Source organism: Homo sapiens, chromosome 8 (genome assembly GCF_000001405.40).
Source record: "Homo sapiens chromosome 8, GRCh38.p14 Primary Assembly".
Lineage (NCBI taxonomy): Eukaryota > Metazoa > Chordata > Mammalia > Primates > Hominidae > Homo > Homo sapiens.
The window spans coordinates 33851887-33875031 of NC_000008.11; the positions used below are offsets into that span (position 1 = coordinate 33851887).

Consider the following 23145-nt stretch of genomic DNA (forward strand, 5'->3'; position numbering starts at 1 on the left):
AGAAACAGGTTGATGGAGGAAAGGGTCATAAGCCAAAGAATGTAGGTGCTTTCTCAAAGCATTCTCAAAAGTGGGCAAGGAAATGAATTCTCCCTGGATCGTCCAGAAGGAACTTAGCCTTGCAGATATGTTTTAGAGTCTGATCTCAAGAACTGTCCAATAAATGTAGGTTTTAAGCCACTACATCTGTGGTAATTTGTTTCAGCCACAAGAGAAAATACACTGGCCAAATACATTAATTACGCAGGCAAAGGAAAGACATTTTACATATTCATGCCCCCAAAACTTTACCTCCCTTTCCCTATGTAGGGAATTTACTATGGTGGTGTTTTAATAAATAAGGATCAGGCATGAGAAAGAGTATGAGGTTCAGGAAAGAAGAGACCCAAAGGACAGGGGCATGAGGGGAAGTCCTATGATTAGGGATGTTCCAGGTAGATAACTGTGTAGACTGTGAGAAAGCAACTGCTCCAGGCTGGAGCAGCTCCAGGCAGGGGCACAAAAGACTGGCTGACTGCTTATCACTCATTTTACTGTCTTGGGTGATGGTTAAGAGCTCAGCTTCAAGAACCCTGAATACCTGGTTTTCCATCCCAGTTTCATTACTTACTAACCAGGCAGATACATTTAACTCACTTTTATTTTTATTTTTGCAAAGTGGAAATAATGATAGTGCTACCATATAGGTTTGTCTTGAGGGTGAAATTAGTATGTGCAGCATGCTTAAAACAGAAAAATTTATGGATAGGCACATGGAATATTGACCAAATATTCCCCTTCTTGAGACAGTTACAAACAGTATTATATACAAGTTTCAGTTGTCAAAAATATTTACCATCATAATTATGTAACCATTAAGTATTGATTTAATCAACTTGTAGCTTAAGTATTTTGGATAGCTGGGAGAGGGATTTGAAGTGTGTGTGTAGCGGGGGGATGAGTTGGGTGGATAGAAAATCAAATGATAGGGTATCAAATTGTAAAATCAAGACATAGCAGTATAAGCATATTGTTTAGAAATAGAAGAGTTAATAATGATTATCTGTAGGGATTATAACCTTGCACTGGGGCAAAGTAAAGCAGGGAACTATTGATTTCCATTATAAGCCTCATGGCACTATTTGACTTTTTCAAGTATGTTCCTGTATTCTTTGATAAAATTTTAAAAATTGAATAATGAAGTTAATGTAGGTGATAGAACACATTTAGCAAGGTGGAGCAAGCCACATAAGCTTCATTACCAAGAGTGTGAAAACTGGCATTCTTGACTCTATTGTCCAAACATATGAGCAAAAATTAACTTTAGAGTTTTGGAAATTGCAAACATCCAGCAACCTTTAGGTTTCATTTCTAATGATGCTTCAAAATCAGTGGTGCCCAACCTGGGTTGCAAATAAAAATGGGCCAGGCTATATACATTGTAGCCACCTGGGAGACTTTTAGACCTCCAATGACCCAGCTTCACCCCAGACCAATTAAATCAGAAACTCTGGGGTTAGGCTCCAGAGTACTAAACGTCAATACTGAAAGGTTTCCAGGTGATTACAATACGTGGCCAAGATTGAGAATAACTGTATGAAAACATTTTGGGCAGCGCTTGGTCAGATTTCCTTTTACTTACTGGCTTTTTAGTAAGCAACACTCCATATTTATCAGCTTGGTAGGAGCGGACATGGAACTGGTAGTAGTTTGCAAAAATAAAGTGTGTGTCACACACGTCCTAAACATTGAAAAATATATGTGTTTCCTAAATATTATAATTTGGATTAGAATCATGTTTGATCACTTTGGTTAATTTTGTCAAACCATAAATAGCTTTACACTAGTTTTTGAGTTATTGAATGCATGAGTCAGACTCCTAAGCCTTCGAGATTTAAACACTGATTGTTATGGCTTAAACACACTGATCTGTGTGAATGCAGAATTTCCTAATGAACTAATGAATAATAACTAAATTATACCAGGAAGACCCAGTATTAATTACCACATAATTCATATGGCAGTTTATAAATCAGATACAAAATCTAATAATTATAGGACAATTGTTATGTAATTACCTTGACTCTATATAGTAATTACAGTGTAATTTTGTCAATGGTTCACATCACATAACCATAAAGAGAACTGCTATTACTTTGCACCCTGGAGTTGAAAATAAGTAGCAAGATTATTCTAGCATCAGTTTAGAGAGGAATCAATATATGATCTTCCCTCTAGATTAGGATCCAGAAATAATGTAACCGTTTGTTTCTAATCTGCTCCGTATTTGTGACTGTACTAATTGATATAAGAGATATTTAATATGTAATGCAGTTGGTGCAGGAAGAATTTAAGCATTCTACCTGCTATTCTGAAATAGACAACATTTAAGTTAAATCATATATAACTAAGCAGATGAAAGCAGATATTCATGAGGAGGAATGTACTTTGATTAAAAACAAATTAGAACATAGTAGAAAATGCTGCTTTTCCTGTGGAGATATAGCTTAAATAGTTTTATGCTAGTTGAATTTGAGTTGGTCAATGCCTTCTTTAGCAAGTGTGTAAACTATCATTTGCTTAGCTCCCCTCAGAAAAGTTTTTTGTTTTTGTTTTCATTTTTAAAAAGATATATTAGCTCCATTAATAGCACACTATACTGGAGAGGTAAGAACACTCCACTGGAGAGGAGGAAAATGACTAGAATTACCATGAAATGGGTGAAGACCTTATATCATCCTCTGGCCAGCACAGGGGTTTACAGTCTAAGACCAAATCTAAAGAAGGACAAAAGTTTCTGCCCATGTTCAAGTAGAGTTGGGATTGATACTGGGAGAATGAGATGTGGGTGAATTTCCTATGGTTCCTTACAGAGAGAATGTGTGGTGCCAATAGCTTAGCAGAGTCATTTCATGGATTTCATGAACATGGCAAAGAACTGGTGAAAAGACACTGAAGTATTTACCAGACCTTCACGACTCATGAAAGTGATTATTCTCTGACTGTAAGCTCCCTGAAGAAGAGATAAATCCCAAGCAGGATGGGATCCAGGAAATATCCAGGAAAGCTTGTCTTTTCAATAGAGTCATAGAGGTCCTCAGGCAGAGAACAGCCCCTTCTGATACTCTAGGCTGAGATTCTAAATATCCTGGACTTGAAACATTGTATTCTCATTGTTTATAGTGGTGAAAGTAACAGCCACAATACTATTTGGAATGTTATAAAAATGAAGCTCAATTAAATAATGAAAGTCAGTCTATTGACTCTGAAAGTTTTTCTGCCAGGTAAAGATGGCCAACTTCCCTGGTAGCTAAGCTGCTGAACATTTATAATTGGAAACCATAGAAAGGATCATTTTTTAAAAATAGAGATAGGGTCTCGAACTCCTGGGCTCAAGCAATCCACCTGCCTCAGCCTCCCAAAGTGCTGGGATTGTAGGTGTGAGCCACAGTGCCCAGTCAGAATAAACTTTTAATGACTCCAGAAAAATAGGATGCCAACTCTCTGATTCCTGTCTACCCAAACACACTGAGGTAATTGCTAGCTAATCGATAAAGCAACGAAACTACAAACAGGATGCAAACCCCACTGAGGCAAGGCTTTGTAAATGGAATGAGTGGTCCCATGAATGTATTGTAGCCTTCCTGTAGCCTGCAGTGACCACCACATCAGGTAAAAAGGAAAGAACACCAAAGCTTGGCCTTTAATACCCTCTAGAAAGTGTCTTCAATATTAGCTGGAGTCTTTCCTTCCACTGTGCACTTTTGTGTATCCTACACTTAGTTATCAAGGATACTCATCTTTTGTTTAACATTCCCTTTAATTTCCTGCTACCAGATTCTTTCTTCCCCTTATCTGAAGTGGCCCATCCATCAACATGTCTCCTGTCCAGACCTCACTCATTATTTAAGCGCTCCATTTTCTTAGTCAAGAGACTCCTTTTGCTTCTTGGAAACTCTGCTCTTGTACTACATATATTTTTATATGCATTTTCTCTATTGGCTTATAAATTCCTGGAGGCAAGTGCCATGATTTACACATTTTTAGATTATTTCCAAGTAGTTATTGTTGAATTTCACAATACAATAAAAACTAGAATGAATGTACCTGTTGATATTTCCTTTGTTAAATTTAAGCATTTGTAGGCTATATTAATTATTAGACCCCAGGATTACTGATCTATGGAGTAAGCATTTTTAGTGCAGGTTTTTGAACCCTCTCCTTCCCTGAGAATGTTTCTTTTATCCTAATATGACTATTAACAACTTGCTTTTTGAAGGACACCGAAGATTTGATGTAGGAATTCAAAGTGATCTCTCTGATAGTAACAGAAAACCTGATTCTGTTATTAGACATAGATGACACTCTTTGAAGAAGTTAAAGCTTAGCTCCTCAAAGACTTTAAGTCACATCAGATTTGAAAAAGGAAACAGTGGAGAAGAGCTCCTGTGTGCTGTCAGAAGAGCCCCAGATGGGGGTTCGGGAGAATGAGGGGCTTCCTCTTTCCCTCAATAACTGGGCTGTATGAGTTGGGTTATGCCAGACAACACCTGAAAAATGAGTGGTTTAGGTTATATGAGCTTGAAGACACCATGAGTCTTAAGAAATCATGCTGTGAGTACATTTCTTGGAGAAAAAATACTGTAATGAAAATAAAACAGCAGGCTGGGATAAAAATCTTGAACTATTGGAAAAGGTAATTATGAAGAAATAATAATTTTTCTCCCAAAGCTTGGCCTTAGGAAAATTACGGCTAATGTATTTATTTATTTATTTTTTTGAGACAGGGTCTCTCTCTGTTGCCCAGGCTGGATTGCAGTGGTGTCATCACAGCTCACTGCAGCCTCAAACTCCTGGGCTCAAGTGATCCTCTTGCCTCAGCCTCCAGGGTAGCTGGGACCACAGGTACATGCCACGACACCCAGCTAACTTAAAAACAAAAATTTATTTATTTTTGGTAGGGACAGAGTCTCACTATGCTGTCCAGGCTGGTCTCCGACTCGGGCTCAGGCAATCCTCCTGCCTTGGCTCAGGCTCTCAAAGTGCTGGGATTATAGGCATGAGCCACCATGTCCGGGCAGCTAATTTAATTTTAATTCTCTCTCTTTCTTCCCTCCCCTCAGTTATTTATCCTAGTTTCAATTCCAAGGGCATTACTTTCAGATTTCTGGACTGATTACAATGGAGTTATTTAAAAAAGCAGTTTAAGGTATTGCTCTTCCTTTAGAACTCTTTGTAGAAGGCACAAGAATCCTGGCAAGTTTTCAAGGCGTAAAGAGATTCTAGTGTTGGGATTTGTAGGAATTCTCCCAGGTGATGAAGCCCTCAGAAGTTTTCCCACTTCCCCCACCCAAATCTCCTGAGAGAGTTGAACAATTAGGATAAATCACTGGTTCTCATTATTAGACATAGATGTCTATGATTAAGATTTCAATCATACACCTGAGGAACTTGGCTCTTGGTTAAAAACCAATGGTGATTTTCTTTTTTGAAGCTTGACTGTCAGCAATTACAAAGGTTTTCCCTGGCAGGCTCTTAGGAGAAGCTGCTCTCCCCACACCAGACTCAGTGCACAACCAGTGTATTCTAATGTCTGCAGGGAGCTGCACTCAAGCCCTCAGGCCCCTCTGGCAGGTCATGCTCTTCCCTATTTGCATTCCTGGCGCTGGCACCTTCATTCCTGAGGTTTCCCAGGCTGGATTGTAGTGTTGTCATCACGGCTCACCGCAGCTTCAAACTCCTGGGCTTAAGTGATCCTCTCGCCTCAGCCTTCAGAATCGCTGGGACCGCAGGTGCATGCCACCACACCAAGCTAGCTTAAAAACAAAATTTGAGGCCTTAGGCAGGGGGCTTCTTCATGCTCCTCTGCTGAGGCCTCCCTGTGCACGGAGGAAGGGGAAGTCTTGAAGACCCAGTCCATGTCCGCTCCTAGCCCTCCCTCTTTGCCCTCCTCCCCCCACCTCAGAGTCCATGCAGCTGTTTGGGGCTCCCTCAACAGTGAGACACCCCCGCAGTGTGTGTCGATTCATCTGACCCACTGTCAGTGTGCTGTTCTCTGGGGGAAGATGGAATAAAGGGAGTTGGTACAGGTTTCTCAGGTTTTAGCCTCTTATAAGCGATTGCAGTAAGTGATTGAAGGTTTAATCCTTTCACTTTTGGCTTGTTGCTTTAATCGGCTCCTCTAACACCTGGAGGCTCAGCTCTCTCTCCCTGCTCAGCTGAGCTCCTACCAGCACCTCTGCTTTCCAAACAACTGAAATATTTGAGCTCAGGTCAGTTTCCCAGAGCACGTGGAATGAAAATGTTTCAATAATCAACACACGACAGGGCCTAGCAACCAGCCGAGGATGACAGGAACTCAACCGCCTTTCAGTCCAGTCGCTTATATCTGAGCATGAAGCTCCCTGTCTGTCACAAAGGTTCTGCACTGCACATTCCATGACCATGAAGACTTATTGCATGAGCATCAATTTTCCCTACAGCCTAACGCAATACCCAGTATGTAATTAGATGTTAATATATATTAATTTAAAAGCAATCATGATATGTCAAGTAATTAGTGAATATGTTGCACAAACATTTTTATCAGGTTGTTACTCTTTCTGTCTCATTGGGGCAATTAACAAAATAAATCCACAATAATATTCATATAAGATGAATTAGAATATAATTATTTGGAAAGTTTAGATTATTAAGGAAAATAATTCAAAGCAATATATTCTTAGAAACACACGTAGGCTAGCAGTTATCTGGGAATATATATGTTACTAGAGTTCTTCGGTTTTTAAGAATGCTGAGGTCCCCAAATTGACCCAGTTATCCTGTCTGAGCTAAATACACATTCACTTTTGCTTCCTAGTTCTGGGTGTTGAGGTTGCAATTGACTTTCTCTTCTCTTGACCAAGATTTACTTGAAATAAACCTAGAGGTGGTTTCCAAAACCATAGTATGATTTTGTGAGGGATTGCAGTATGGGGATGAAATATGTATGTTTTACAAAGTATAAATCTTTGGGCAGAATGAAATTCAGATTTTTGTTTGTGGATTCAGGGAAATTGTAGCAGGCTAGGTTGGTGCTTATTGGATTCTGAAAACATTTGATTTAACTGGATGAAGAAAATGCACACAATATCCACTTGTCTATCTAACAGAAAAATAGAAGGTCATTGATTTAGGGTCCTGCTCCAAAGAGAGAGCCCACTCTGGCAAGTGCACTTCAAGACCATTTGTAAATATGCTAAACAATAAGACAAAATTTCAAAGTATCATGATTACATGTTCTAGAGACATTTAGAACATCATCATTTTTCTAAGGAATGTCCCTACATACAAAATAAAGTCACTTTATACAAAATGAAATGACTTCTCCTCAAACTGCCTAGTAAAAGTAGCCAACAATAGTGTAGGTGACACCCCCAAATAATCCAAAGGTTATTTTAGATGCTCAACTGATTTATTTTCCTAATCATGTTTTTTTTTAAATCAGTTATTTAATTAAGTTCTTCTTAAGACATTTAGAACACCAATTTGTGAGGATAAATTCCATTTGTCAGGGCAAACACATGAGGAATAGCTTTGATTTTTGGTAAAATCTGTGAGTCCACAGCTTTCTCATCAATCTTGCACTGTCTGTATTCTCATATTTCTCTTTTTCTGTGTCGAAGATCTCACCTTCCTGGTGTCTGGGCTTCCGCAGCTGCTTCTTCCTGAAGTAAGCATCAGTAGGATGTTTTGGGATTTTTACATTGCTGATATCAATTTTGGTTGAGGTGGCAATGACAAGTTTCCGGTGTGTTCTTCATAGAGGAATTCGACTGAGGACCAGAGGTCCAGTCACAAGTAACAAGCCACTAGCCAGCTGCTTCAGGAAAACCACCCTCTTGCCCCTGTGGTGTCCAGTGAGGATGATCAGAATGGTCCTGGGGGTGATTCTGGCTCACAGTTTTCTCACGTGCTGATTGAAGGGTTTTGTGCAGTGGCTCAACAGCTTTCCAGGCGCATCTTCAGCAGAATATTATCTGGGCATTTTGTGAAGTTTAACCACCCGGGTACCACCGTTCTTGTCACTACCAACTGGTTTTGTAACAGTTGCAAGAACCTTCTCCTTCTTTTTCTTTTCAACCTTGGATTTAGTGGCTGAGTACTTCCTCTTGTACATGGCCTTTCTGGAATACATAGCAGATCGAGAATACCTGCCAATTCCTCTGACAGGGACAGGATTGTGGCTGCAATGGGGCTTCCCCTTCTTGGGCATCTTAGCCTTGAGGTTGTGCTTTTTCACCTTGCCACCAGCATCAGCCTTCTTAGCTTCGGGTTTCTTCTCTTTAGTATCGGCTTCTCCGCTTTTTCACCTGCCATCTTGCAAGATAGGAAAGAACCTTAATCATGTTTAATATCATTTGATGCCCGATAAAAATTCAGTACATTTTCCTAGTGTTCAAGTTTCATTTAATAATCATTTCATTAAAAAACCCAACATTTATAGTATGCAAAGTAATATTAAAAAAGGATTGTCAGATTTTGAAGGAAAAGACCCACTGAAATACAGCCCCAAATGTCATTCACAGCTGCTGAAAGTAAATTATATAATCTTCTGGGGAGTAATTTGGCATTATGAATGAAAAATTATATAATGTATATTTTTCAATACTGCAATTCCCATTCTAGAAATTTACCATAAAGAAATAATGTTGTATGCACAAAGATATGTATACCAAGAATATTTAACACAGTCTGGTTTATACTACCGAAGAAATGGAGCCAAATGAAATGTTCAGCAACAGTCTTGGTAGCATAAATGAGCAGTCCTCAAAAGTGATGATGCAGATCTATGTATTTTTAGAACATATTACTAAGTAGAAAGTAGTTCCAAAACAAAATGTATGGTATAAAACAATTTTCTAAGTTAAAAAGTGGTTTATTCACCTGTAGTAAAAAGCTGGCAGGCTGTGAATTAATTTTCAGTTGTGGTCATGTTTAGATGGTGGAATTATGCGTGATTGTTTTACTCATCTGTATCTTCTATTGTTTTCCCATAAGGAACATAAATTCCTTATCTACTCCAGGTATTATTCCTATAAGGAGTTAGGAAATAATTTCACCAATATTTTTTAGACAAAAGAGTCTTATGATTATGTAAAACATGCCACATTAGAAGAATTTTATTTAACGGACATTTCTATAGCACTTACTATGTTCCAGACAGTGTTTCTCTGCCATTTTTCCTGCCCATTCTCCCTTTCCTTCTTCCTTTCTCTTTTCCCTCCCTTCCTTAATTTATTCCCCTCCCTTTCCTCCTTTATATCATTTTTTATTGTGGTAAAATGTAGCATTTTTGGTGTATAGGTCTATGAATTTTGTTAAATACATATAATAGTATGGCATCACTACAGTCAATACACAGAACAGTTTCATCCCTCCACCCTCCCAATTCCTTTAAGTCCTTTTGTAGTAAACACCTGTTATCCTAGCCCTGGGAAACCACTGATCTCTTTTCTCCTCTTGTTTTACTTTTTCCAGAATGTTATATAATTGCAGTTATATAGTATGTAACCTTCAGAGTCTAGCTTCTTTTATTTAGCATAATGCACTTGAAATTTATTCACGTTAAGTGTATCAAGAGCTTGTTCCTTTTTATTGCTGAACAGTATTCAATTATATGGATATAGCACAGTTTGTTTATCCATCATCAGCTGAAGGACATTTGGGTTATGTTCAGTGTTTTGTAATAATGCATAAAGTAGCTTGAATATTTGCATACGGGTTCTTATGTGAACATTGTTTTCATTTCTCCTTGGGTAAATACCTAGGAGTGAAATTGCTGGATCATATTGTTAGTATGTCTTTAACTTTATAAGAAACTGCCAAAGTGTTTTCCAAAGGCGCTGTAACATTTTGCATTCTTGCCAGTAATATATGAGAGTTTCAGTTGCTCTGTCTCCTTGACAACATTTGGCATTGTCATTTTTCTAAATGTAGCAGCTTCTATTTTAAATATTTACAAATATTAATTCATTTAACTCTGTGAGATAAATAGTATTACTATCTCAATTTTATTAATGAAAAAATTGATATGGACATCAGGCTCCTCTCTCAAATTCACACAGTCTGTAAGTGGAGAGCTGAATTGGTACCCAGACAACCTAAGGCCAGAATATATGTTCTTAATATACTATACTATACCTCTCTTTCTGTCAATACGGGAAAGAAAGGCTTGCTATAATTCCAGTGAAAACTTGAAAGTTCATCATTTCTACTCTTGGAAAGTTGGCTAAAATTTATTGAGTTTTAAATTAATTTGCCAAACATGTACAGTGTGGCTCCATCTAGAACTATTCCTGTCAGCTAATTAAAGGATGTCAGTAGGCCGGCTCCTGAGAGATCTTTCAGAATACTGTAACTTGTTGGGTTCCCTGCGGTTCAGAGTCTTGCTCTCAGCCCTGCAAACCTAGAAATGTAATCCTTTTGCTATCCAAGAAATGACTGAACTCAGTCATGCTGGAGGACATAAGAGATAAAGTTCACAAGACAATGATATGTTAAACAAAATGGAAATTTATTAATTTATTGCGAGAAATATAATGACCAAAGGGAACAAATATTCATTTATATTTGACAGCACATCTTCCTGTAGAAAAACTGCATGGGAGCCAAATTATAATCAGAAGGTTCCTAGGTATGCCTAGAAACATAACTGGGAGAGTTCTCTGATTTTAATAGCCTGAAGCCTTTAAACACTCAATCATAAAACTAAGTCCTGGAAGTTTGTGCCTGAAATATCCTTATTTGTTCCTTCCCACAGTATGATTTAGTCTGCCTAGGGGCCACAGAGAATGATGAAGTGTCTGCCTTTCCGCTGCTCTAGCTCTGATCAACCCAACTTCTCACTGATGTCTTTGTTTCTTAGACATGGATCTTCTAATTACAATCAATTCATATTCATCTTCAATAACCCAATATTTGTTGATCATCTATCGTGTGCCAAGACTGTTCTATGAGTATGGGATAGAGCTAATTTCAGGAATCATTTTGTCTTTTTAAAATTTTGAAGTATCTCTTCTTGTCTTTTTTTGGATCCATTTTATGTTGAGATATATATATATATGTATATATATGTATGTATGTATATATATGTATGTATGTGTATATATATGTATATATATATGTATGTATGTGTGTGTGTGTGTATATATATATAAAATCTCTAAGGAGAAACTCATTTATGAGGTCTTGATGGTCACCTCACTGTGGTTCCCATGTACTGACTTAGAACATGTATTTTTGAATTTGTATGATTATTATTAATTTTTGTCTTTCTACACAACCCCTAGTTTCAACTCTAACCAATGTGTGAATATTTTAAAAGTCTAGGTCCTTTGTACAACACATTTGGTCTTCTGAGCTGAATCCATGAATTTCAATTGTCTAAATGTCACTGTCTGGACATTTTGCTAGCTTCTCAAACTCAATGACTCACATCAAACCTGCCATTTTCTTCTAACAAACCAGCTTTTATTTTTTAAAAAATCTGCATTTAAAATTGTGTTTTAAATGAACGCAATCAGCATCGTCCAGCCATTCCATATTTTAATTCTGTTCCCATTTTTCCTGCACCCCATGTCATGTCAATGAGTTGACAAATTGGATGAAAAGCATTTTGTAAACCAAACCCTTTCTTTCATTTGGCTGCTTATTTTCAATATGTCCAACCAACTAGTGACATATATCATTAGACACTGAAACTGGTGTGTGTTGTACTGCAAGGTTCTTGAGCAGTAGATCATTCTTTTTTCTTGCTGTTGTCTCAGGGAACTTCTCTGGGCTCTTTCTGTTTGCAATTTTGGGTCCCAACCACATCCTGCCTCAACACCACTTGCAATGGACTGAATCAAAGTGTCTGTGTTAAAATCCTAACCCTTAAGATGATGGTATTAGGAGGTGGGGCCTTTGGGGGGTGATTGGTGCCCTATAAAATAGGTCCTAGAAAGATCCCTTGCCTCTTCCACCATGTGAGGAAACTGCCAAAAGATGGATATCTATGAATAGGAAGCAGGTCCTCACCAGACACTGAATCTGTTGGTGATTTGATCTTGAACTTCCCAGTCTTTAGAATTGTGGGAAATAAATTTCTGTTGTTTATAAACCACCCAGTCTGTGGCATTTTGTTATAGCGGCCTGAACAGTCTGAGACAGAGAGCCCAGAGCTTTGGTTTTGTGTGCTGTTTCTTTCTTTGGTCGAATATTTCCTTTAGACCTTTTTCTGAGCTGCCATGTATCTATGCTTCTCTTCCTGTTGCCCCAAGTTAGCCCTACTTCATTCCTACCCTTCCTACCACTCTCCCCTTCTATGTTTTTCTTCTTTTTTCATCAGGAATCCAGCCCCATTTGACCTCCTTTTCCCCTGCTTTCCTCATTTACCATTCCCTTCCATCCTGTCTTATTCCTTCTATTCTCTGCCTGCCTTGGGTGGAGACTGAAACAATGCCCTCACTCCCTTGGTCAAAATGAAACCAGCCCATAGATGACAGTTTTTGAGACAAATAAAAATTGATCCTCCTGGTCTTAAAGCTTGAAATTTACATTTGTCTTATCTGAGTTCCCTCTTAGGAAACTGACTCTCAGGCCTCCCAGATGGTATTAAGGAAGTGAAACTCATCTTCCTTACCTCTCCCTAATTCCTGTTTTACCAACTGACTGCCTGCTTTCTGTTGACCAGCTCCTCTTTCTTACCATCCTAATCCCTAATCCCTGCTTTCTCACACATACTACATTCCTTCTCTGCTATGTAAACCCCCAATTTTAGATGGTTTGAGAGATGCGTTTGAGATTGATCTCCCATCTTTTTGGCTGAAGCACTTGAATAAAGCCTTCTTCTTTGGCAATACTTGTTGTCTCTGTGATGGGGTTTCTGTGCAGTGAGCAATGGGACCTAGACCAAATGGCTGGTGTTTTGGTATCAAAAACATTCAATATCTCTCAATGAAAGAAAACATTTCTCATTCACATTTATGAGGCACTTCAACCATATTAGCCAAGTTTGTACTTTCAGGCTTAATTTTTATTATTTTCCTACAAAGAGCCTCGTTCCATTTAAAATAGGGGTCCTTCTTTTTTCCTAGTATTCCCTAACATGTCCGCATCCCTTTTCCCAAACTTCAATTCATACTGATTGCTAAACTTATGAAGTTATTTTATTTCTCCTAATTGATGGAAGTCCTACTCCTTATGCAAATTCATGTTTTCTTTAAGTCTTTTCTATTACCCTTGATCAGAAAAGTATCCTCTGCAGCCTTCAAATTAGGAAAGAACTTTGTTTTTAGGTCAATTTTACTATACTTAAAAGTTATTTGTATACATTTTTCCCACTCTGCCAGATTATACATTTAATGAAGTTTCAAGCATATTAGTTTTCAAATACTCAACCATGGACTAGTGGGTACTTTACCATTCGAGGAGCTTAATGACATAAATCTACTGTGTGAAAGAATGAGAAGATGAGTCACTGCAGCCTTAAACACGATTTCATTTGTTCTCCATTCATGTCATCATCTACTATGTAATTTTCTTCTTAAACCAGAGACATGTAGATTTCAGGCAAAGCCTGTACTTTGTTCTCTTCTGACCCCTTAAAGCCTTCATTATGCCCCACAGACCTAGGGTGCCCATCTTTCCTTGAATTTCTCCTTTTCTGGATCTAGTTATACGTGTGCAGGCTGCAGCCCTCCACTGTCCACTGGCTATGTGGGAATTTCCTGATACAATAATCTGACCTGAAATGTCACCAAGGCAGGTTTGGGCTGGCTTCCAGCCCAATGCAAACAGCAGGGATAAACAGCAGTGTTCTGCTCAACACTTCACCAGTTAAGCTGTCATTAAAAGGGAAACACCTGCTACCCAGAGAGTCTTTATATTTTACTTTACCACAGGGGTCTTCTCTGGACTTGTCAACTGATTGCTTTGGGGCTAAGCTGGAAAAAAATACATTATCTCCCCATGTAACTATCAAGTAAGGAAAGAAGTTTCCTCTGTGTGATTAGACCCATCCACAAAACAGGCCCATGGAGAGTCTAGAAGAACATGCTATACCTTAGAAAAGGAGAAATACACTATGTTTGCTGTTATATGGAAGAAGAGAACAGGAGCATACAAAATCATTGTGCAGTTAGAATCCTGCAGTCAGTTGGAGTCTCTGTTCCACAGCAGCTTCCTCTGTAATTCCAAAATTATTTGTTACAGAATAAAAGATAGCAACATAAGGTGCTAGATCTGCAATCTTTTGAATTAGTATAGCTTGGGAGGTAGGAGGCACAAAGGTTAAAGTCCTAATTCTACATATTATTGCTTTACTTTGGGCAAAAGTTTTAACTTTCTCAAGACTGCTTTATCAGTATAATGTGGTGGTGAGGCCAAGTAATCTTAGAATTTACCTATTTAATTCCAGTAGTCTAAGACTCTGTGACTAGTTAATGCTTCTTGACTCTGTACTTAAGCAACTTAAAGTGCGAATTGGTAGCATTTTATAAGGCAGTGCGTTTTCTCAAGATTTACAGTGAAATCTCTGTGGTTTGTGCTTACAGAGGGGGCAGTGAATAGTTTGAATTATGGGATACTTTTTCAGAAATGCCATCTTTATTACTTTCAAATGGGTGCAGTAAATATGCTAGGCTAACAAAACGTTGCCAGGATATTTTGCCAAATATAGATCTTTTTGTGAACATATCAGAATGATATGTAATTAACTTTTATTGTTTATACATCAGTGTGAGCTTTTAAAGTGCTTAAAAAGAGTTTGTTGCCTTAAATGGTTTTGTGAGTACCTTCGTTGCCAGACTTTTATTTACACGATGCCCTATAAGATGGTTAATTTTATGTGTCAACTTGACCAGGCTAGGGGATGGCCAGACGGCAGTGAAAACATTATTTCTGGGTGTATCTGTGAGGGTGTTTCTGGAAAAGATGAGCATTTGAATTGGTAGACTGAGTAAAGAAAATGGCCCTCAGCAATGTGGGTGGGCATCATCTAACCTGTTAAAGGGCCTGAATAGAACAAAAAGGCAGAGGAAGGGCGAGTTTACTCTATCTGTTTGAGCTGGGCATCTGTCTTCTTCTGCCCTTGGACATCAGCATTCCTGGTTCTCAGGCTTTGGGACTTGCATTGAATTTCACCATTGGCTTTCTTATTTCTCCATCTTGCAGGTGGCAGATAATGGAATTTTTCAGCCTCCATAGCTGTGTGAACTAGTTCCTATAATAAATCTCCCTTTATATATAACATATATCTATATCCTGTTAGTCTGTTTCTCTGCAGAACTCTGACTCATTCATTCTATGTAAAATTTGTTGGTTAAAAGGTAAAACTTACATTTTCTTATTATTAAAACTTCAAGATAAGTGATGTTTAGGATGTTTTGAATGATGATGAGTTGGGATTACAACATAGCTCTGGATACACACTTCTTTCATGTAAGCATTCATTACTAAGCCTTGAAACCACGAAGTCTTTGCAAGCTTTGTCTTCATAGTTACGCCATTGTTTCAGAAGTTTTGCTTCCTCATTTTGTTCTAGCTTGAGGTACAAGTTGATGCTGAAAAATAAAAGAGATTCTTTGAGGTTCAAGCTCTTTGACTCAGTGTGCCATTGGCTATCTCTCCTGCTCCCACCCTCTTACCCTTTGTCCTACATGTCCTAGTACCTAGTAGAACCTTAGACCCCTTCTTGTCTTACTGCCCCATAGGACCTGCCAACTCCAAGGCTCCTAAGTACAGTTCAGGAAATACCAGTTCCTATGGGGTAAAGCATTGCAGTTTAGGAAATGATAACTGATGGTCACTGACAACCAGGGTTACCATCAAAGTCTTTAAATTCTTTATTAAGTCAGTAACTGTTGAATACCTACCATGAATAAGCTATAGGGGTTGTACAAAGATGAATAAGATACAGCCCCAGTCTCAGGAAACTTGTTTGCAACTTGGTAGAGGAGGCTAATTTCATCATAATTGTATCTCTAATTTCTAGGAGAATGGATTTTTTTTTTTTTGTCCTCAGGCTTTAATACCCACAGAACTATGCAGAAAGTATCACCTTCACAGCACTGGTGTGGTCACCTTTTTCATTATGCTTACACTATGCCGAGGGAGAAGATGACCTCAATACATTATTACTTGGCTTAATTGCAGCTTCCATAAAACAAATAATACACAAAATTATTTGAAACCACAAAGCAGCCTAATGACATATTGAAAATCCCAGATCAAGTGAATAGGGAGAAAGAATATGGAATTTTTTTCAAAACAAAAATTAAACTGAATTTTTGGGGGTAGGTTGGGGTGGGTGAGGATTTTGGCCTAGGTCATCAGCATGAACTGATAGAACATGTGAAGGCAGAAAAAACAATGAACTAGGATCTTTCTACCATCCTCCATCAAGACGGAATCTTTGCTGACCTTTCCATATTACTTCACTGCTTCTAATAGTGTTGGAAAGTAATAGCACAAAAGCTTGCTTTATCTGGTGATGGAGAAGCAAAGCCAGACTTTCTCTTTGTGTGGTGTGACCCAAGATACCTCAAGGCTAAGATGACTTCCAATAGTTCTTTCCCTTAACCCACAGCAACCAAAATTCCCACCATTAGAATTTTTATGTAGGTGCTTTCTAGAGATGTGTACTCTGTGGATAGATCAAGATCTTATTATTTATTTAGAAGTCTAATGTCTTGGGTAATGTCTTAGTCTGTTTTCCACTGCTGTAACAGAATACTTGAGAGTGGGTAATTTATAATAAAACAGAAACTTATTGGTCAAGGTTCCAGAGGGTGGGAGGTCCAAGACCAAAAGCTGCATCTGGTGAGGGCCTTCTTGCTGTGTCATCCCATGATGGAAGGGCAAAGAGAGGGCATGAAAACATGAAAGGACTAAACTTGCTTTTATAACAAACTTACTCTTGCAATAAAGAACTTATTCCTGCAGCAATGACATTAATCTATCAATGAGGTCAAAGCCCTCATGGTCTAATCACCTCTTAAAGGTCCAGTCTATCAATATTGTTGCATTGGAGACTGTTTCCAACACATGCTTTATTGGAACTTCCAGATAGCAGGGCTTTGGTGATCGGAGAGTCCATTAAGGATCACTTTGATCTAAGGGAGAGATATGAGCTGGCAAAAAATAATAAGAAAGTGATATGGTTTAATGAATGAAGTGTGGATGGCAGAGAAAGGAGAGAAAAACAAACTAGAGCTGCTCTAAAATCTCAGTGACTTTAGAAAAATGTGTCAAAGGCTTTGGCCATTGAGAGGTGGAAGGTCTCTGCCTTCTCTCTTCTTTACCTGTTTCTTATCAATATGTATGGCTGATATTACTTAGCATTAAATGGTAACATGTTTTTTCATGCTTGCTTGTGGGATGGGAGCTGATGGTTTTGCTATGAGCCAAACCAGGCAGCAAGAGACACTTCACTGGGATGGGTTAAATCCATGGATTTAATATATCATTGAAATGGGTACCAGATTATGTAGGTTCTTGGCCTGGCTCTGCTGGGAATTACTGTGTGGCCCTAGGCAAGTTTGTTTTTCTTTCTAGAGACCCATTTTCTTTAACCACACAATGGCCAGGACTGGTGGAGAGAGGGACCATATAGGAGTAGCTGCCTCAATTCTAATGGAAGCTTATACCCTATTTCATAAAAGCAGAAAATGCTGTGGTATCTGAGAACTGGATCTTATATTTACCAGTATCTCAGAAATAAAATTCAATTTCAGCAAGAGATGGTTCTAAACACTCACATGCTACTTGGGGGAATCTAATGCACGTAAAAGCTGAGTACAAGGCTGCAAATCCCCTTCCAAGCCTTCTTCACCTGCTGAGTCATCTTCCAAAGTCTGGATATGTCGCTCTTGGGATATGTCCAGCTTGCCTTGAGCTAGGCAGCAGGCATCTAGTCAGGGTAGAAGCTTGGATTTTAATATAACAACTGGAGCCAATTTACAGAAGCAATATGATTTTCTAAATTATTGGAATTAGCTAGTCAAGCCTGGGAGTTACAATCACTCACAGGCTCACAAACCCTAATAACATCTGGCAAACTCCAACAGGGGCAGAAAGAAACACACACACATGCACACACACACACACACACACACACACACACACACACACACACACCCCACATACCCAACAACAAGCAAATAAACAAAAAACAAACCCAAGGCATTCACATCCTTTTTTAGTATGACATCCTTAAGGTCACCATGTCAAGGGACTGGAGGAAATTAAAAGGAAGCTTCTCAGAGGACACTGCTTACAAGGACTCCTTTACTTATAGCTTGTTAATTTTCACAGTACAGTGGCCCTGGGTCATGAATTAAAGAAACAGATGAAAAAAAATATTGTGCTTTAAACTGTACTGGAGGCCCCTTGCATACTCCTGTGCCTTTTGATGAGAAACATTAAACATTTTTAATTTAGCACGTCAATTTGAAAATCTAATTTTTTTTTAATGCTTTGTAGCAGCAGACGCGTTCACGGTGCTGTCACTACCATAGAAGAATTATGAGAAACTTGAACCGCAAAAAGTAAATTAGAAAAATCTCATTTCAGTTACTCTAAAAAGAGGGGAAATTAGATTTTGATTAAAATCACTCACACATACAATTTTAGGTAAACTAATTTAGCAAGACTGACTATATAATTTTTTTTCCTGCCAGTATGTCCTTTTAATACTGGCTGTGAGGTATTTGTACCCATAACCTTTCTTCCAACAAGTGGATGAAAAAAAGAAACTCTAATAAAGTGGCCTCTTGACCACTGTGTGCAAGGCCTGGTAGGGAGAGATTAAAGTAGTGTATTTGTCAATATAACAGGCAGAAGCTGAGAATGAATTAAGACTCCTTGTACAAGTCTTTTTTAGCTGGTTCTTAGCTTTGCCTTTTCAACTATTTTTTTTTTAAGGTTTCAACTTGGAAATTTTTACTTTAAGGAATGATGTGTCAGCTAATGTAGGGGATTAATTGCATCATTAGTGCTGCATAATGTACAGTCCATGGCCAGAGGCCCCAGTCTGGGTGACACAAATGCTGCCACCTCCAAGGTGGGACGGGAGCACAGCAACTGACAGTTCTCATTAGTTAAAGGTAGACCCACATCCTCTACAAGGGTGTTGCCAGTTGCAGTGAAACGATGCATAAAGATGTGTTTTGTAAACCATAAAGTGTTACCCAAGACTGTAGTGTCAGTATTATTCTTCTGTCTGAGTTCAAATTACTGCCTTCCGGGGTCTGAGCTTGGTCCTCTGAAATCCCAGCATGGAATCTAGGTTTTAGTTATTAAGCATCTTGTACCAAACCTCATTTTGAAAATAGCATTGTTAATGAATTCAAAACTTTTAAATTAAGGCTGAAGGGCAAATAGTTAACTCTCTGAAAGAACAGGAATGGCTGGTGTATAGAAGATTGTGCCCATAACTGATCTCCCTCCCTACTGAGCAGAATACTTGGAGAAACAGGTTTCCTTGAACTTGCCAGTGAGGTGTGATGAGACGTGCATGATGTAATATATATGGGAGTGATATGGTCAGTCTCTGTGTCCCCACCCAAATCTCATCTTGAATTGTAATCCCCATAACCCCCACGTGTTGAGGGTGGAACAGGTGGAGATAATTGAATCATGGGGGTGGGTCCCGCCATGCTGTTCTCATGATAGTGAGTTCTTTTTATATGGTTTTATAAGGGGATTCCCCTTTGCTCGGCACTCATTCCATCCTGCCACCCTATGAAAATGGTGTCTGCTTCTCCTTTGCCTTCTGCCATGACTATAAGTTTCCTGAGGCCTCCCCAGTAATGCAGATCTACGAGTCAATTAAACCTCTTTCCTTCATATTAATAAATTACTCAGTCTTGGGTATTTCTTCATAGCAGTTTGAGAACAGATTAATACAAGGTGCCTTTGAAAAACATAACATATAATGTATAGGTAAGATACTATTTAAAAAGAAATAAGGCTGGGCGCGGTGGCTCACACCTGTAATCCCAGCACTTTGGGAGGCTGAGGTGGGCAGATCTCGAGGTCAGGAGATTGAGTCCATCCTAGCTAACATGGTGAAACCCCGTCTCTACTAAAAATACAAAAATTAGCTGGGCATGGTGGCATGCACCTGTAATGTCAGCTACCTGAGAAGCTGAGGCAGGAGAATCACTTGAACCCGGGAGATGGAGGTTGCAGTGAGCTGAGATTGTGCCACTGCACTCCAGCCTGGCAACAGAGCAAGTCTCCATCTCAAAAAAATAAAAAAATACAAAGAAACACAGTATAAAAATAACAGTTCAGTACGATGTCTGTAAGTAGCAGAAAGACAAGGAGGGTTGAAAGAGAGCTGTTATTTACTAATCATTGTCACCTGGATGTCCACTCTTCTCCAATCCTGGCATGACACAGAAAGATAGATAAGATCGAATCTGGAAATAGAACAGGGGAAGAAAAGAAAGTAGAAAATAATTAGAAATGAAAGAGTAAATTAGGCTAGAGAAGTTAGAAATTGAGAAAATAGAAGAAGAGAAAGATACAGGAAAGAGAGAAAGGAAAAAAAAAAGCAAGAATCAGAAAAACAGAGGGGAAAGGAAGAAGGTGGGAGGGATGATCTTGACTTTTCTTCATGAGCCTAGTCCATTTTGACAACATTTTGGTCAAATAAGCCTCATATATCACTTTCAGTCTTGGAAATAACAGAAACCTTCTTAAAGCCTTCTTTAAAACTTCCATAATAGAAAAGTACCAGGACATTTTTTTCACTGGGCATCAGTCTCTGCAGTTGTCTCTCTCAGCTTTGAGTCCGTGGCCCATCCCTATAAGCACTCCCTTGCAAGCACCATAACTTGTCTCTCTTTTCCAAAGCCCTGCTAGAACCCAACTATTCACCTTCTGCTTGTTCATCACAGAGTAACTAAATATTTTTGGATAGAAACCATACAACAGAACAGTGAATGCTTTTTAAATTAATGATTGCCAAGATTCAGAATAACAGGTGACTGTTTATTATTTTATTTTCTAGAGACAGACTCTTGCCTTGTCACCCAGGCTGGAGTGCAGTGGTGGGATCACATCTCACTGCAGCTTCAGCCTCCCAGGCTCAAGCAATCCTCCTGAATAGCTGGGACCATAGGTACATTCTACTACACCTGGCTAATTTTTATTTTGTAGAGATGGAATCTCCCTATGTTGCCCAGGCTGGTCTTGAACTCTTGATCTTAAGAGAGCCTCCCACCTTAGCCTCCCAAAGTGCTGGAATTACAGGCGTGAGCCACCACACCTGGCCAACAGGTGACATTTCATGGCATTTCTGTCTTCCTATTCCATGAAGTGACTACTGGCATACCTCTCAGAACATCTTCCTGTTTGATGCCATTTGGTTTTTAATAACCAAACTTGATGAGGCGTAAATATTTCTCACTGGGACATTTTTGAGGTGGATGTTTATGCAGAGAATATTTATATTTACATGCCCTAAACTCAATAAAACACTTTAAACAAAATAAAATTCAGGAAATTACTCAAAATGATTTCCCAATACAATAAGTAGCCTAAGCACCATATGTAGATGTTTTAAAGGGCATGCTGTGTGTTAACAGATGTGCATCTGACTTACTGAGAGAAGTGATGTTACTGCATACACAGCAATTATTTCTTAACAAGTATATTAACTTTGAGATAATAAAGATATGTTATAAGCATTATATGTCTTAACATAATAATTATATATGTATAATATATAATTGGTAAGAATTTTTCTTTCTTGTGAATGTTGGCATGCTGATTCTAAAATGGATATAGAAATGTAAAAGGCCAAGAATAGCTAAGGCGATTTTTTTTTTTTTTTTTGAGACAGAGTCTCTCTCTGTTGACCAGACTGGAGTGCAGTGGCGCGATCTCAGCTTACTGCAACTTGTGCCTCCCGGGGTCAAGCAATTCTCCTGCCTCAGCCTCCTGAGTAGCTGAGATTATGGGCGTGTGCCAACATTCCCAGCTAATTTTTGTATTTTTAGTAGAGACAGGGTTTCACTATGCTGGTCAGGCCGGTCTTGTACTCCTGACCTTGTGATCTGCCCGCCGTGGCCTCCCAAAGTGCTGGGATTACAGGCGTGAGCCACCGCGCCCAGCCTGATGATTTTAAAGATGAATAATACTGGAGAGTTTTCAGATAATGTGCTATTGACACAAGGACACACACAGAGGTAAATGGTACAGAAGAGAGGGTTCAGAATCACATGGAATTCATACTTGATTTAAAAATCCATGGCACTGAAGAGAAGTGGTGAGAGGATGTATTTTAAATCCATGATACTGAGTTAATTTGGTATCCCTATATAAAAAAATAAAAATTTGAACCCCTACCTTACACAAAATACACAAAATTATTTCCAATGGGTTGTAGCTCTACATATGTATGACAAGTAAAACGATAGCCTCTAGAACATGGCATAGGAAAACGTCTGCATAGACATTTTTCAAGTTACTTATTAATTCTAATTGTAGATTCTTTGGGAATGCCTGTGTGCAGTAATCACGTGGTTTCTGAATAATGGCAGTTTACTTTTTTCTTTCAAATTATCATGCTTTTTATTTCTTCTTTTTGCTTTATTGTCCTGACTAAGATAGTCAGTACACTGTTGAATGGAAGGGATGTTAGCTGACAACCTTATCTTATTTAAGATCCAAAAGTGAAAGCTTTTGATATTTAGTATTAACTTGATGTTTGCTATAGGTTTTTTTGTAGCTGTTATTCATCAGACTAAGGAAGAAGTTCTCTTCCTTTTCTAGTTTACTAAGAGTTAAAAAGTATCACAAATGGGTATTGAATTTTATCAAATGCACTTCCTATGTCTATTGAAATAATAGAAATTTTCTCCTTAATGTGTTTAATTACATTAATTGATTTTCAAATGTGTTAACCAATTTTACATTTCTGGAATCAAGCCCACTTAGTATTGATGAATTATTTTATATGTCCCATAATTGTTTGCTAAATTTTTAAGTGAATTTTGATATAAGGAAGGTTGGCTTCTAATTTTCTTTATCAAGTTTTAGTATTAATGCCATGCTGGTATGCTGGTCATACAAAATTGGCTGGAAAACATTTCTCTTTAAAACAAATTCCTGCATACATTTGTGTAAAATTGG

The 23145-nt window shown here is 38.4% G+C and overlaps 1 long non-coding RNA gene and 1 pseudogene across 5 annotated transcripts in view, besides 1 other annotated feature; one reads left to right on the forward strand and one right to left on the reverse strand.

Moving 5' to 3' along the window:
* LOC105379364 (uncharacterized) overlaps positions 1-23145 on the forward strand; it is a 535736-nt gene that overhangs the window by 129505 nt on the left and 383086 nt on the right. The gene's annotated exons all lie outside the window — the stretch shown is intronic.
* Positions 5825-6325: an enhancer, noted in NCBI's record as "H3K4me1 hESC enhancer chr8:33715229-33715729 (GRCh37/hg19 assembly coordinates)". NCBI's record gives its function as "activates a minimal SCP1, AML or CMV promoter by ChIP-STARR-seq in naive H9 embryonic stem cells {active_cell/tissue: H9 hESC(naive)}" and the evidence as "EXISTENCE:reporter gene assay evidence [ECO:0000049][PMID:30033119]".
* On the reverse strand, positions 7462-8362 carry RPL6P22 (ribosomal protein L6 pseudogene 22; annotated as a pseudogene).